The sequence below is a fragment of the Homo sapiens genome, chromosome 17 (genome assembly GCF_000001405.40).
Source record: "Homo sapiens chromosome 17, GRCh38.p14 Primary Assembly".
Lineage (NCBI taxonomy): Eukaryota > Metazoa > Chordata > Mammalia > Primates > Hominidae > Homo > Homo sapiens.
The window spans coordinates 47,951,813-47,967,274 of NC_000017.11; the positions used below are offsets into that span (position 1 = coordinate 47,951,813).

At 50.8% G+C, this 15,462-nt stretch overlaps 1 protein-coding gene across 6 annotated transcripts, besides 2 other annotated features; it reads right to left on the reverse strand.

Moving 5' to 3' along the window:
- Positions 1–154: 154 nt before the first annotated feature.
- On the reverse strand, positions 155–6,071 carry PRR15L (proline rich 15 like). Of its 6 annotated transcripts, none has more exons than XM_005257666.5 (3): positions 5,845–6,071; positions 5,322–5,404; positions 155–1,451 (listed from the first exon to the last, which is right to left on the reverse strand). In XM_005257666.5, the coding sequence occupies exon 3, from the start codon at positions 1,420–1,422 to the stop codon at positions 1,111–1,113; it is 312 nt and encodes a 103-aa protein (XP_005257723.1). In that variant the 5' UTR covers positions 1,423–1,451; positions 5,322–5,404; positions 5,845–6,071; the 3' UTR covers positions 155–1,110. The 6 variants fall into 6 exon arrangements, with proteins under 6 accessions (XP_005257723.1, XP_047292696.1, NP_077296.1 ...); XM_047436740.1 differs by having other exon boundaries at positions 155–1,454; NM_024320.4 differs by lacking the exon at positions 5,322–5,404.
- Positions 4,739–5,684: an enhancer, noted in NCBI's record as "H3K4me1 hESC enhancer chr17:46033917-46034862 (GRCh37/hg19 assembly coordinates)". NCBI's record gives its function as "activates a minimal SCP1, AML or CMV promoter by ChIP-STARR-seq in naive H9 embryonic stem cells {active_cell/tissue: H9 hESC(naive)}" and the evidence as "EXISTENCE:reporter gene assay evidence [ECO:0000049][PMID:30033119]".
- Positions 5,685–6,630: an enhancer, noted in NCBI's record as "H3K4me1 hESC enhancer chr17:46034863-46035808 (GRCh37/hg19 assembly coordinates)". NCBI's record gives its function as "activates a minimal SCP1, AML or CMV promoter by ChIP-STARR-seq in naive H9 embryonic stem cells {active_cell/tissue: H9 hESC(naive)}" and the evidence as "EXISTENCE:reporter gene assay evidence [ECO:0000049][PMID:30033119]".

Below are 15,462 nucleotides of genomic sequence, written 5' to 3' on the forward strand. Positions count from 1 at the left end.
CTCTCTGTTGACTGGAGAGAACTGACCACTGAGGTGTAACTAGCTCCTTCTGCTGCCCCATCCCCATACTAAGGCTAGTTTGATGGTAAAAATTAGTGACCCAGTTCCTACATTGTCACACCTGGGAACCCTTCCTGAAGCTTGAAAGGAACAGTTTGAGCACAAAGGTCCACTTTACTTACATGAAGGAACATAAAGGCATGAGAAACAGTCATCTCAATAAATGCAAGACATGAGCATAAAAGAGGTTCTCTGCCTTTCCAGCGTTGTTATTACAGAGAGAAACCTACAATTATTTTGTTAAACAAAATTCAAGGCTCCAGGACTCATCTCTGGAGCTGATATGTCTTAAATACTATTATAGTAGGAAAGGGAGAGGAGAAAATTCCCCACCCACTCCCCCGATTTGGCCCGTGTAGCTTCCCTTTGAGGGTGTGTGACTTGCCATCTGCAAAAGTCATGGCCAAAACAGGAACTAACAGGCCAAACTACCATCAATCTAGTCTTCTACAGCACCCTAACAGAGTGCCAGGGTCCTCTGTCCCCTCCGCACCTGAGGGCAAAGTTCCAGGAAGTTTACTGCCGGTGTTAGGAGGTGAGCTCAAGTTCAGTGTCTCTGCCTCTGGCTCCACAGAAACCAGCCCCTATCACGTGGCTTCTGGAAAATGTGCCCTCCTCAGGATTGGTCCAGGGAGTAGTCACAGGTAGAGAAAGTAAAGGGAGCAGCAATTGAAACTCGCCCTTGACCCTGTGTCCAGTAAGGAGGTGAAGTCTGTCTGGCTCACTCTCTCCATTCCCTGCCATGCCCACCTCCCTGCTGGCCCTGCCATTGCTTCAAGGAGGGCTGTTCCTCCTGGGTGAGACTTTTCACTCTTGAACTAGAGTGCCTTTGTATGTGGTCAGGGGGAGGGTGGAGGACCCTGGGATCTCCCAGGCCTTACAAAAGTGGCGGCACATAAATACAAACCTAAAAAACAGCCATTTCCTGCCAGCAGGTATCAACTGGCCCCACAGCTTCAGCTATGGCCAAAGAGGCCAGCGTGGCAAGGTCCTGTCTCAGATCTGGCTGATGGCAGGGAGCCAAGAGGTGCTAGCACCCTCCTCAGCCCTTCACTTTGATGACCGTCCTTCCTCGTGATCATCAAAGAGGTTAGGGTTCTCTGCCAGCGTGGCTCTCACTTTCTTCTTCTCCTTGAAGCGTCCTGAGTTGGAGACCTTGACGTGCTTGCCCTTTGTGCTCTTGTCCACAATCTTCTCCAGGCGGGTGTTAAAGTCGCTGTTGGGGCCTCCAGCGTCAGGCCTCGGGGGTTCTGCATCTCCCTCTGTTTGGGCATAGGTGTCAGGGATCTCATACAGCACTTTGGGAGTGGATTTCTTTTTCCGGAGGAAAGTCAGCTTCCACCAACCAATTTCAGTCGTCATGGCGCTCCCTAAGCCAAGGATGGGGCTTTCTGCTGGAGCAGGGTGGGGGAGACAAAGGGGTCAGTGGGAAAAGGGGGTGGGTGCCTTTGGACCAGCTTGCTGCAGACTCCTAATCATGGGCTGTTTTAAGAATTAAATAAAGGGCTGGGCGTGGTTCTTCATGCCTATAATCCCGGCACTTTGGGAGGCCAAGGCAGGTGGATCACCTAAGGCCAGGAGTTCAAGACAGGCCTGGCCAACATGGTGAAATCCCGGCTCTACTAAAAATACAAAAATTAGCTGGGCGTAGTGGCACGCACCTGTAATCCCAGCTACTCGGGTGGCTGAGGCAGGAAAACCACTTGAACCCGGGAGGCAGAGGTTGCAGTGAGCTGAGATCATGCCACTGCACTCCGGCCTGGGTGACAGAGTGAGACTATCTCAAAAAAAAAAAAAAAGAAAGAAGAAGAAGAAGAAGAATTAAAGAAAGAATTTAAGGTAGGGCTGAATAAACCCAAGATTCAGGTCAGTGGGGTGACACAATGCTTTTGGAGAGTGTGAGACAAGAAAAGGGTCAAAGTCAAGGTCAAGACAGGGAAGCCACTCGCCAGACAGAGAGGCAGTGGGACAGGCACACACCATTGCCCTGCAGGGTTGTCAGGAGCTTTGAGATAATTCCTGCCAGGCCCCTCAGGGCCACAGGCAGGTGGACAGCTTGCCTGAGTCACACAGCATCCAGGCCTTTGATGCTCTTCCCAAACTTCCCACTATACCACCAGACCCTGCTGCCAGGCATGGGCAGACCATTGACTGGTAGCATAGGGAGGGAAACACCCTGTGCATTTTGCTTGGAATTCATTACAAAATTAAATATAATTAGTGGCATTCCAAGCAATTTGAACTTCCCAGTGGTGACCAGCAGGGCTAAAGTAACTGCTGGGCTGTTCCTAAGGCAGGAGTCAGATCCTCAGGCTGGGAGTGGGAAGTCCTGGGGGCTGTCCTAGCCTCATGACCACTGGCAAGCCACCACCTCTCTGGGCCTCAGTTTCCTCACCCATCCCATCCAGCACTAGCATTTAGCTCTACTGTTAATCCCTGCCCACAGAGGTAACCATGCATTGCAAAGTAAAACTTACGATAATGGGAATAATTACTAAGGGATGGTTCCCTTTCCCCACCAAGCTTCCACAAGGACAGGAGTTGGAAGGGGAGCTAAAAAGGCAGAAAGCAGTTAGAAGGATCCCAGAAGTACAGGGGAGACATGGTCATCACAGGTTGTACCTTGCAGGGTGGGGCTTGGGGCTGAAATCCAGGCTTCTCCACTCACAGGCCATGTGTCCTGCCATGGAGCTGCCTTCCCTGGGGGCTCACCTTTGACTAATTTCCACAAAGGTACTATATGAGCTAGCGGAACTTCTCGGAGAGGAGGTTGCCTGGACATCATTGATTGCTGGGGTATGTAAGATAGAAGCAGATGACAGTCTGCTAGATGAAGGAAGATCAATGACAGAACAGGTAGAGGAACACTGATGACTGGTGAGGTCGGTGGTCTTGTTCTCAGGATGCCTAGCTGCCGGCTGTGAAAGCTCCCAGGAAGGAAGGCGCAGCCAGTGTACACCAGAAAGCTAGAGGGTATCACCTCCTTTTAAAAACTGGAAGTGTTCACTCCATTTTTGAAAAAGACCAGAAAGACACTCCAAATGATGTGCCTTTTTTTTTTCTTTTTTTTTTTTTTGAGACAGAGTCTTGCTTATTGCCCAGGCTGGAGTAAAATGGCATGATCTCGGCTCACCACAACCTCCACCTCCCAGGTTCAAGCGATTCTCCTGCTTCAGCCTCCCGAGGAGCTGGGATTACAGGCATGCGCCACCACGCCCGGCTAATTTTGTATTTTTAGTAGAGACGGGGTTTCTCCATGTTGGTCAGGCTGGTCTCGAACTCCTGACCTCAGGTGATCCACCCACCTCGGCCTCCCAAAGTGCTGGGATTACAGGCATGAGCCACTGTGCCCAGCCCAATAGTGCCTTTCTTTATGTAGGAGTAGAGGATGCTTTCTCTTCTCTAGTTTTCTGATTTCTGGAATTTCCATGATGAGTATAGATTATTTTAGGGGTGGGGGAGCATATCAAATTTAGGAAAGAGGAGAGCACGACGCAGGCCTAGACTTTACGATGAGCTGAATGCCTGCATCCATACCCCTCGTGCTCTGGTCTCCTGCTCCCCACCCCCTCCCTCAGAGCACACAGCCGGTGGATTCCTTCCCACCTCTCTGTCTGGGAAGCAGCTCCCACATTGCCAGCTCTGTCCCTTTAGCTGGGCTCAAGTAGCAAGAGAAGCTGAGGGGAGATCTTGTGCAGCTCCCGCTCAGAAAGTGAAGGAGCAGTGAGAGGGGCTCCATAAATACTTCCAGGGCACCCTGGAGAGGTGAGCACACCTAGGGACAGCCTGAGAGGTTTGTTTTGGCAGCTTGCCCCACCTGGGCTTAGCACAGCCTTGTACAGAACTTAGTGTTCCAGAATGGGTTTCTGGAAGGAGGTGGGGGAGAGCAGAGAAGGAGGAACAGGGCACTTGCTTGGTCTGTGGGTGCCCGAGTCACTGCCTTGTCTGGAATGAGGCCCACAGCCCCACCACTGCCCATTTGGGGCTGCCAAGGAACTTGGGGAATGGAAAAACAGAAGATCCAGCTCCTGAGACTATCATAACCACCAGATTTTCTAGCTCCAGAGAGAAAAGGGCTTCTGCCTGTGCCATTAAAATTCACCTGTTTTAACAGGTATTTCAAGTTGGCAAACCTGGGGCTTAACTCTCCTTGGCATAAAGGGAGCCACAGATCACGAGGAACTTCTCAGCAAACTGTAGAGATGGGAACAGCCCTTGTGCCCTGCCCTGGGGCCTCCACCAAGGCATCAACTCTGGTGCCCTTGCATCCTAGCCTTGTACTCTGGTCTCTCTAGAATACTCTGCCAGAGGCCAGGTGCAGTGGCTCAAACTATAATCCCAGCACTTTGGGAGGCTGAGGCAGGAGGATTGCTTGAGGCCAGGAGTTCAAGACCAGCCTGACCAACATGGGGGAACCCCATCTCTACTAAAAACACAAAAACACAAAAAATTAGGCGGATGTTGTGTCATATGCCTGTAGTCCCAGCTACTCGGGAGGCTGAGGCACGAGAATCCCTTGAACCCAGGAGGCAGAGGTTGCAGTGAGCTGAGATCATGCCACTGCATTCCAGCCTGGGCGACACAGTGAGACTCTTTTCTCAAAAAACAACAACAACAAAAAAAGAGAATACCCTTTTTGCCAGGCCTTCCTGTCTCTTCTGCCCAGGAGGACATGTGGGGACCAGTAAGCAGGTGTTTGCCCCATTAGCAAGCCTGACTTATGGAAATCTGAGTTTGCAAAATGGAAAAATTAGCCGACTATTCTTTGTTTTACAAAATAACCCAGCTGTAGGATCTGTAAATAGTCATCATAAAAGATAGTGTAAAATCTGATTTGCTTTAAAAACAAGCAAACAAAAAAGGTGATGTGATATCCAAACTTCCCAGTTTCTCAAAGTTGCAAAGAACAAGATATCTACAACCGCCTGCCTGTGCCTCACCACAGAGGGCTGAAAGGGGTTGGGGGAGTGGGGGCAGGTGCTTGGGACTTCAAACAGACCCAGCATTTAGTGACACATGGTGGGCCCTGCAGTTAGCTCGTGCAGGTTCCTGAGCTGGCCGAGCTAAGGGCTGGGCCCTTGCCCTGGGGCCTTGCAATCCAGGGATGATGGAAATCAGCCCCTGAGGATGCCAGCTTCACCTCTGCTGTTTGCACAGCTTTGGGGCCATGAAAGGCCTCATGGGACAGCCTGCCACCCCCTGTCTTTGGTGGCCAGCGCTATAGCATGCACATGGGTGTCCCAGGAGAGGCCCCTCCATACCAGCTGGGTTCTGTGAGCTGCTCTGAAGGGCTTTGCCCAGACTGAGCCAGGCCCCTCCTGAGCTGGGTCAAGTTAACCATTGACTGGGGCAGAGGTGGAGGGGCAGGGGGACAGATAGGGGAAGCAAGTCAGCTAATATGTTGTAAGACAAAACCCCAGAACTCCCTCCCCCATCCCTCTGCAGGGCCCCAATGGCACTTAGGGGGCCTGCAGGATGAGACAGGGGTACCCTGGATAGGAATGGGGAGATGTTCCTACCAGACAGCTGGAAAAATGCTCCAGACTGGGGGGTCAGAAGGGTGGGCTCCAGTTCAGCAAGGGTTAACAGAAAACTACTCAGCAGGAGCTCTGTTGGAGGCCTGGATTGACTCCAAGAGGCCAGTGGGATGAGTCTTGAGTGGAGACCAGGTTAGAGGCCTGGGTTCCTCTTTCCTGCTGGGCTTGTCAGCCCTGGAGGCAGAACCAGGTGCTCTGACTGGGGTCTATGCCTTGGTTTCCCCACCCACCAGCCCTCTGCCTGTACCTGTAATCCCGACTGCTCCAGGCTGGAGGTGAGACCTTTCCTAGAGAAGCAGTTGAGTGTAGGAGCTGCCTGGGAGGGTGAGACTCGGGAAGCAAGTGGTGCCTCCGGGCTGCTGTATCAGGCAAGGCTCAGCCAGGAGAGGTGGGTAGGAGCAGCTGCACGTCAGGTGCAAGAGAAACAGGTGCAAGAGCTGTTACCTGCTCTGCTGCAGCTCCTGGAGTCAAGGTGAACCTGAAACCCAGCCCCTCCCGGCTAAGTAAACAGAAGCAGAGGCCGGCTCAAGCTGATGAATATTCATCATGCCAGAAATCCAATCCCAGCGCCCCTGCATCCACCCAGAAGCCAGGGTTCTCCAGGGACCGCCACGCAGGAGGAGGGAATCCCAAGGGAGATCTGGGGTCAGGGAGCACAGGAGGCTCTCGCTCAGTTTCCCCACTCTTGGGTGTCTGGTTGCACTTCCCAGCTATAGCCAGGGTCACCCCACCCATTTCATCTTCTGAGGAGGCGCAGACCCCTCTCCAGCATGGACCACCACCTGGATGTTGCCCAGGGCACAACCAGGAAAGAGTTAAGGGCTGCTGCTTCCATTGGCAGGCTGGGTAGGACGGGGTGCACCCCAGCTTCCTTTGAACTCCCTGAGTCGAAACCAGTCCCGGTTAAACTGGTTGGCAGACCGGTTCCCAGGCTGTCCCTCCCCTGCCTCAAGCCTCAAAGTGGGGACTGGGTTGGGGGCTGTGGCTTCCTCCTGACCTGAAGAGCCCCTCTTCAAAAATCTCCCTAGGGAGAAAAAAAAAAAGGGCACAGCCTCTCCTCGGGCCAGGCTCTCCAGACCCACCACAACCTCAAACATTGTCATCCCTCTCCCACTTTGCTTGGAGGTGGGCTTCAAGGCCCTTGAGATCTTATGCAGAATTCCGTGTTTGTGGGCAGAGGGGCATTGCTTTTTCTGCATAGATTATACTTTTATCAGACTCTCAAAGAGACCTGTGCCAGTGTCCCCACTAGCAAAGTGCCACTGGCTTCAACTCCTCCCAGATGTCCAGCAGTCTATTGAAAGGGCCTTCCTGGGTATTATAAAGTTGGCAAAACCTGGAGCAAGTTCTCAAGGAAAGGAGAGATGGGTCCCTAGTGAGTCTGGAAGAGAAGGAAGGGCAAGAAGGCAGGGGATGGGCACACGGTTGGGGACAGGGGTAGAGTGTGTGTGCACAGGGGCCTTCGTCCTCACCGATCTGCAGTCTCATTGCCCCTGCAAACCCACCATTGGCCAAGCTGTGTGCAGCGCTCAGCCAGGGCTGCTCTTGCAGATGGCTCCGTGTCTGGGGAGCGTTGTTTTGCAGCCACCCGGAGGTGGCCTGTCCTATTTGCGCTTGCATTCTCTCTCCCCTCGGATGGGCATCGCTGGAGAGTGGAAAACATCTGCTACATACTCAGTGTCTCTGCCACTTCCTGGGCCCAGTGCTACCAGCTTAGGTGCCCAATCCACCCACCAGCTACCTTCCTCCATGGACCAGGTGTGCGTGTCAGGCAAAGGGTGAGGCACGGGGTAGAGAAAAGGCATAAAATCCCCCCTTTCCCTGGCTCTCCCTCTAAGTTACATTTGAAATCCCAGCTCACCAACTCTTAAAGCTGTCCCCCATTTCCAATCCTGCTTCTACTCGCTCCAGCTTCTGATGGCCTCTTGGGTTTGTATTCTCCTCCATCTGAAATAGCCCCCCTTCCCTTAAAATGTCCTTGGGTGGACAGTCCTCCAAAGCCTCCCCACAGCCCACAGCAGAACCCGCTTGGCCTGGCTCTCCTAGGATGGGGCCTCTGCAGCCTCCTCTCATGCACACCCACCCCTGCCAACTCTCCCTGAACACTAGGCTCTTCTCTGCCTGCCTTTGTAGGCATGAGGCTGCCTTAGAAGGGTGAGATTAGGAGTGCTGGCTGTGCTCTTGGGTAACAATGTCCCCCCCATCACCTGTGCGACCCAAGAGAAACTTCTTTTCATCCCTCAGAACCTGAATTAATGATCACACCTCCCACCCCGCCAGGAGTTTTCTTGTTTCCCCTTCTGTGTTCCCATAGAACCTGCTCATATACTTCTATTTAACATGATATATATACCATGATTGGTTTCCACTTACAGACTTTTAGCTCTTAGAGCCCAGAATTATGTATCACTGATCCAGACCAGACATACAGTAGGTACTTATGCAAGCTCGAAAACACAAATGAGAAACAGAAACATTGTTTTTACCCAAAGAAACTGTTAATGTAGCCAATTGCTTTGTCCCACTCTCCCTGGGGCAGGTAAATGTGCAAGAAAACCCATTTATTTGCCTTCTTGTGGTTCCAGCCACAGCTGGCTTGCTGTCATGCTATCATCTCCCTGGGGGGTGATTTGAATTGAAGGATATAATTTTGTAAGGTCCCCTACCTCTAGTGCAAAGTACACACAGCTGTCCCAGAAAGGTGCCCACAGCCTCCTAGATCTGTCACTTTCTATAAAAGCCTCGTCTACTCAGAGTGGATATCTGGTTCAGAAGACAAAAACTCCTTCCAGCTCAGGTGTTGGGAAGAGACCAGAAGGCTAGTGGGATGGGCTTTGGTCTGGGGGATGGTAACTCAGAGTCAGTTCCCCGTTCCCCATCCATAGAAGGAAGGGCTTGCCCTGGAGGTACTAATTCCCCATGCCTCGGAGATCCAGCCTCTCTGATGTCTGAGCCCAGGGGAGCAGATTCCTGTTCTCTTGGCTCCACACTGGAGAAGGAGCCCCCATAAGTGCCGTGGCAGGCCTACCTGTGGCTCTCCCTTCCCAAGTGCCACCAGTCCCAGGTGCAGGTGTGAGGACCTAGCGCATTACCAGGGAGGGGCCAGCCTGGGAAGTCAGGCACAACCCCTGGCCTTCAGGGCATTTATTTCTGGGAGGAGCAGGGCTGGGAGGAAAGTTTGAGATAAGGCTGTGAGCTACGAATATAACTCCTCACGTACAGGCCACTTTATTGCTTTATAAAAATTTTCACCTTTGGCCAGGCACAGTGGCTCACACCTGTAATCCCAGCACTTTGGGAGACTGAGGCAGGCAGATCACCTGAGGTCGGAAGTTTGAGACCAGTCTGTCCAACATGGAGAAACCCCATCTCTACTAAAAATACAAAATTAGCTAGGCATTTTGATGCATGCCTGTAATCCCAGCTACTTGGGAGGCTGAGGCAGGAGAATCACTTGAACCTGGGAGGCGGAGGTTGCAGTGAGGCGAGACTGCACCATTGCACTCCAGCCTGGGCAACAAGAGTGAAACTCTGTCTAAAAAAAAAAAAAAATCACCTTTAAGCACACCTTTCTAAAACTAGGTTTAAGTGTAACATGCTATATACATGCAGTGTGCACGTCTCAAGAAATGTGTTCTTGTTGAGTAAAGCAAGTTAAATTCACCTAAGGGAGCCCCAAGGACCTTGGTGCCCTTTTGGGGTACACAGCCATGGGGCCCCATTGCATTACAAATCTAATCAGCCTGGCATATCCATCCCATTTTACAGATCTCTGCCCAGCAAGTAGATCTAGGCTTCAGGGACATTTCTTCCCTAAAACACGGAGAAGAGAGGTGCTGCCATTCTCCTCAGCTCTCCCCATTCTCTGGAAGGCCAGGAGATTGGAGATCCTGGGGGTGTCCAGCCTGGTCGAGGTGACAGGTGGGGCAAGACCAAAGATCAGTCTCTGGTGGGCTACACCAGGTGCAGTGGGGAGGCAGGGGCAGGCAGAAGCTGCATTCTGATCTGAGGTGGGTGGTGGGGCTGCCATTGGAGGGGGCTTTCTCCTTGTTTTCATGCGAGGCGTTCCCTTCAAGGAGATCTCAGCAGGGAGTGGGGGTATGAGCAGCCAATATTAGGGGGACTGTGTTCCAGGCACTCTTCCAAATGTTCCATAGGTGTGAACTCTTGATCCCCACAGCTGCCCCTTAAGGTGGATTCTCTAACCGAGTACACCCATTTGCACCCCGTCAGCAATTTTCCTGTTGCTGTTTGCATTCGTTTCCTGTAGCTGCCATGAGTTACCATGAACTCCATGGCTTGAAACAACAGAAATGGATTCTTCTGACCTATCCAGTAAGTCAGAAGTCAGAAATGAGTTTAACTGGTCAAGACCAACGAGTTGCCAGTGCTGTGATCCCTCTGGAGGCTCCAGGGAGAACCTGTCCTTGATTCTTCCAAGCTCCTGGTGACTGCAGGCACTCCTGGGCTTGTGGCCACATCACTCCAATCTCTGCCTCCTTTGTTTTCACTTCTGTGGGTTTGGCTAAACTCCCTCCACCTCTCTCTTATAAGGACACTTGGGATGGCATTTAGGGTCCACCCAGATAATCCAGGATTCTCTCATCTCAAGACGTTTAACATAATCACATGTGCAAAGAGTCTTTTTCCAAATAAGGTCACACTCATAGCTTCTGGAGATTTGACATGGTTATCTTTGGAGGGATCATTTTTCAGCCTTCCACGTTCTTCATTCAGACAACCTCTCTGTATTGTCAGACATAAGTGGGCTTCCTACATCCTTTTTCAGGGAAGGACTTGCTGCCAGGTCACAGGAGTGTGGTCAGCAGTTGGCCATCAGCTCCTTCAAGGTCTGTCTCAGCGACAGAAAGCCACCTTGCCCTAGGGCTACCATTCTGGAGCAGCGCACTTCTAGGGATAAAAAAGCCCAGCCATTTCAGCCCCATGAAGGACATTCTCGGAGCAATATTCACTCAGAGGCCTCCACCACATTGACTAAAGCTTTGCTGGGCCTGCAGTGCAGTTGGATTTCTGCCTCTGCCCAGCATTGCTTCCATCTGATTCCTCTCACAGGAAATGATTCCTAATAAACATCTTGCCCCCCAAAACACCACCTACTTCTGTAGAATGCAACCCATGACACAGACATTTCCATTTTTGCCAGTATGATGGAAGTGAAGTGGTCTTCTTCATGTCATTTATTTATTTAGAGATGGAGTCTCGCTCTGTTTCCCAGGCTGGAGTGCAGTGGTACCATCTTGGCTCACTGCAACCTCCACCTCCCAGGTTCAAGCAATTCTCCCACCTCAGCCTCCCGAGTACCTGGACTTACAGGTGGGCACCACCACACCCAGCTAATTTTTGCATTTTTAGTAGAGACGGGGTTTCACCATGTTGGACAGGCTGATCTGGAACTCCTGACCTCAGATGATCCACCCACCTCGGCTTCCCAAAGTGCTGGGATTACAGGTGTGCACCATTGCACCATTTCACCAGGCCCATGTCCTTTATATTTGCATTTCCCTAGTGTACTGGATTGAATAGTGTCCCCGAAAATTCACGTCCACTCAGAACCCCAGAATGTGACCTGCATTGGAACTAGGGTTTCCAGATGTGGTTTTCAGATGTAGTCAACCTGGGTTAGTGTAGGCCCTAAGGTTGAGGAGTAGTGTCCTTACAGGAAGAATGTCATGTGACAATGGAAGCCATGTGACAATGGAGGTACCTGCAAGCCAAGGATACCAAGGCCTGCCAGCAGCCACAGAAGCCAGGAGAGAGGCACAGACAGCATCTCCTCTGCAAGGAACCAACCATGCTGACACCTGGATTTCAGACTTCAAGCCTCCAGAACTGCGAGAGTAAATTTCTTTTCTTTTTTTTTTTGGGACAGAGTCTCTCTGTCGCCCAGGCTGGAGTGCAGTGGTGCGATCTCGGCTCACTGCACCCTCCACCTCCCGGGCTCACGCCATTCTCCTGCCTCAGCCTCCCGAGTAGCTGGGACTATAGACGCCCGCCACCACGCCCAGCTAATTTTTTGTATTTTTAGTAGAGACAGGGTTTCACCGTGTTAGCCAGAGTGGTCTCGATCTCCTGACCTCAGGTGATCCACCCGCCTCGGCCTCCCAAAGTACTGGGATTACAGGCTTGAGCCACTGAGCCCGGCCCTGTGAGAGAGTAAATTTCTATTGTTTTAAGCCACCCAGTTTGTGGTGATTTGTTACAGCAGCACCAGGAAACTAGACACTTTGTTTCTAGTAAGGTTGGACATCTTTTCATACATTTATTGGTCATATTCTCTGAAATGATCTTTCCTTCCTTCTTCCCTTCGTTCCTTCCTCTCTCTCTTTCTCTTTTTTTTTTTTTTTCTGAGTCAGGGTCTCACTATGTTGCCCAGGCTGGTTTCGAACTCCTGGACTCAAGTGATCCTCCTTCCTCAACCTCCCAAAATGCTGGGATTACAGGTGTGAGCTACCATGCCCAGCCAAAATGACCATTTTCTTCAATGTAGAAAAATTTCTGCATCTCATCATATGGGAGTTGTCTTTCTAGTAACCACTGACTTAAAAAAAAATCATTGCATTTATGGATCCCTGGCACATTTGCATAATTCTATTTTATTTATTTATTTATTTTTTTACAGACAGGGTCTGTCTCCGTCACCCAGGCTGGAATACAGTTGGCACAGTCATAGCTCACTACAGCCTCAAACTCCTTGGCTCAAGCGATCTTCCCACCTTTGCATATTTCTACAGCTTTCCAGGGACCTGCTTGCCCATTGATTGGGAATCCTAACCTATGGAATTAAATTTCAACCCTTTATAATGGACCTGAAAGTTCTTCAAGATCTCCCTTTGCCGGTCTCTTCAACCTAATTTCTCTCCACTCTCCCCATAAACATCCATGCTCCCATAATAAACTTCTTCCTTCTGGAACAGCCATTCTCTCACCTCTAGGCTTTGTCCTTGCTTTTCCTTTTTCCCAGAATGACACCTGTCACCTCCCTTCCTCTTTTCTCTCCTCTCCTTTCTATTACAATTCATGCCATCTTGCAAGACTCAGCTCAAGTGTTACTTCTCCTAAGAGCCTGCTCTGGTGGTGTTCTGTCCTTCTCCTTTGCCTTTTCCCATGCTGAGTTGGATACTCCGTCTCCTTCTTTCTGTTCCCTTAGCACTCTGAGCATCTCTGAGTGGACCTCTTATTAGCTTTTTTATTTTTTTTGAGACAGTCTTGCTCTGTTGCCCAGGCTGGAGTGCAGTGGCATGACCTCAGCTCACTGCAACCTCTGCCTCCTGGGTTCAAGTGATTCTTGTGCCTCAGCCTCCTAAGTAGCTGGGACTACAGGCAGGCACCACCACACCCAGTTAATTTTCTGTGTTTTTGTATTTTTAGTAGAGACGGGATTTTGCCATGTTGGCCAGGCTGGTCTTGAACTCTTGACCTCAGGTGATCTGCCTGCCTCGGCCTCCCAAAGCGCTGGGATTACAGGTACCTCTTATTTGCTTTGCATAGATTTTTTGAGCACCTTCTATGCATGAGCACAGTACTCTCACACTCTGTGACGACACACTCTGGAGATGTCGTCATGGGATATGGAAGGTGGTGGGCCCCTCACTCAACATACTTTTACTTCCTTTGAGGCCTAGGACTGTGTCTTTGTGATAAGGTGCTCAGGGTGCATAAAGTTGAACTCCAATGGAAAAGAGGTGAATGGATGGGTGGTTTGGTAGTATCCTTGGTTTTCCTTTTCTTAGCAGATTAGATTCCCACCGCCTTCCATGATAAGCATGGTGAAATAATGAAATACAGTGGCATCCTTAGAAGATGACAAACAGGACCCATTTCATGAAGCCACCCAGGGAGTTCTTTTTCCCCAGAAGACTAACAAAGGTGGAGGGATGAGGTGGCCAGGAGGGCATGAGTTGCCAGAGTTAAGGGTAAAATGAGTGGCCCCAGAGCATGACCCAGGTGACTGGCCCCACATAGACTTTCACTGGTCTGTACCAAACTCGTGAAGCTGACCACCCCTAATTTCTTCTCCCTGATTTCCTCCCTTCACTCCCAAGAGGCTCAGAGGATGTTGACTCCAAGTCCTGAGCTGTAGAGGAAAGGATGAGAAAAGGATCTGGGGACCTTGAACCTCTTGTCCCAAGACAAAGCAATCATGGTCCCCACTTATCACAACTACCACCAACATCAAATGCCTTCCTGCATATGGCTTTCCTTCATTACAAGCATCCATTAAGCTCCTGACACTCAATGTCAAGAGTCACACCGGATGCTGGGGTTATAGAGATGAACAAGTCTGCTTTGGCTTCCCAGCCCACAGGTACTCGCAGACTAGGTGGGGAGACAGACTGAAAAACGCAACATGCCGGGCACGGTGGCTCACGCCTGTAATCCCAGCACTTTGGGAGGCCAAGGTGGGCAGATCACGAGGTCAGGAGTTCAAGACCACCCTGGCCAACATGGTGAAACCCCATCTCTACTGAAAATACAAAAATTAGCCAGGCATGGTGGCACGTGCCTGTAATCCCAGTTATTTGGGAGGCTGAGGTAGGAGAATCGCTTGAACCCAAGAGGAGGAGGTTGCAGTGGGCTGAGATCACACCACTGCACTCCAGCCTGGGTGACAGAGCGAGATTCTGTCTCAAAAAAAAAAAAGGAAAGAAAGAAAGAAAGAAAAAAGCAACACAGTGGTTACACTCCGGGCAGCAAGAGGCCCAAGGCTGCTATGTTTCCAGAGCTTCCAGCCTAGCAGGCAGATACACCACACACACACAGGCACACACACCACACCCCATAGTCAGTGTGGCTGTGAGCAAACACACAGACCATAAAGTAATAAAAATATAGCAGATAAAATAAATGAGTTATTTGAATGTTGAAAGTAAGCCTTCTTTTATGGATATTGCAGGAGGATAAGTAATGGGCTCCCTTTCCCAGAATGGGGTGTGGTAAGAATGAACTTTGGAAAGGGGCAGGGCCTGCAGGGGTGGGAGTTCTGAGTGTCTGGCACAACAACTGGGGAGAAAATAGGAATCAGGCCCAAGGGAGGAAGAGACCTGAAGCTGTTGTGGCTGAGCCAAAGGGGTAGGCAGGGGTGCAGGAGAAGCAAAGGCACATCACACAGAGAAGAAGAATGCAGGCTGGGTAGCCCAACAGGCCTGGGTTTGAATCCCAGCCTCATCAACTACCCACTGTATGATTTTCCTTTTTTTTTTTTTTTTGAGTCTTTCTCTGTTTCCCAGGCTGGAGCGCAGTAGCACAATCTTGGCTCATTGCAACCTCTGCCTCCCAGGTTCAAGGGATTCTTCTGCCTCAGCCTCCCGAGTAGCTGGGATTACAGGCATGTGCCACCACGCCCAGCTAATTTTGTATTTTTAGTAGTTGGGGTTTCACCTTGTTGGCCAGGCTGGTCTCAAACTTCTGACCTCAGGTGATCCACCCGCCTCGGCCTCCCAAAGTGTTGAGTTCCATGTGTGAGCCACCGCGCCTGGCCCACTGTATGATCTGTATGATTTTCTTTTCTTTTCTTTTTTTTTGAGACGGAGTCTTTCTCTGTCACCCAGGCTGGAGTGCAGTGGCGCGATCTCGGCTCACTGCAACCTCCGCCTCCTGGGTTCAAGTGATTGTCCTGCCTCAGCCTCCTGAGTAGCTGGGACTACAGGCACGTGCCACCACACCCAGCTAATTTTTTGTGTTTTTAGTAGAGACGGGGTTTCACCGTGTTAGCCAGGATGGTCTCGATCTCTTGACCTTGTGATCCACCCACCTTGGCCTTCTAAAGTGTTGGGATTACAGACGTGAGCCACCGCACCTGGCCCACTGGATGATTTTCAACATGTTACGTAATTAATCTTTGGCT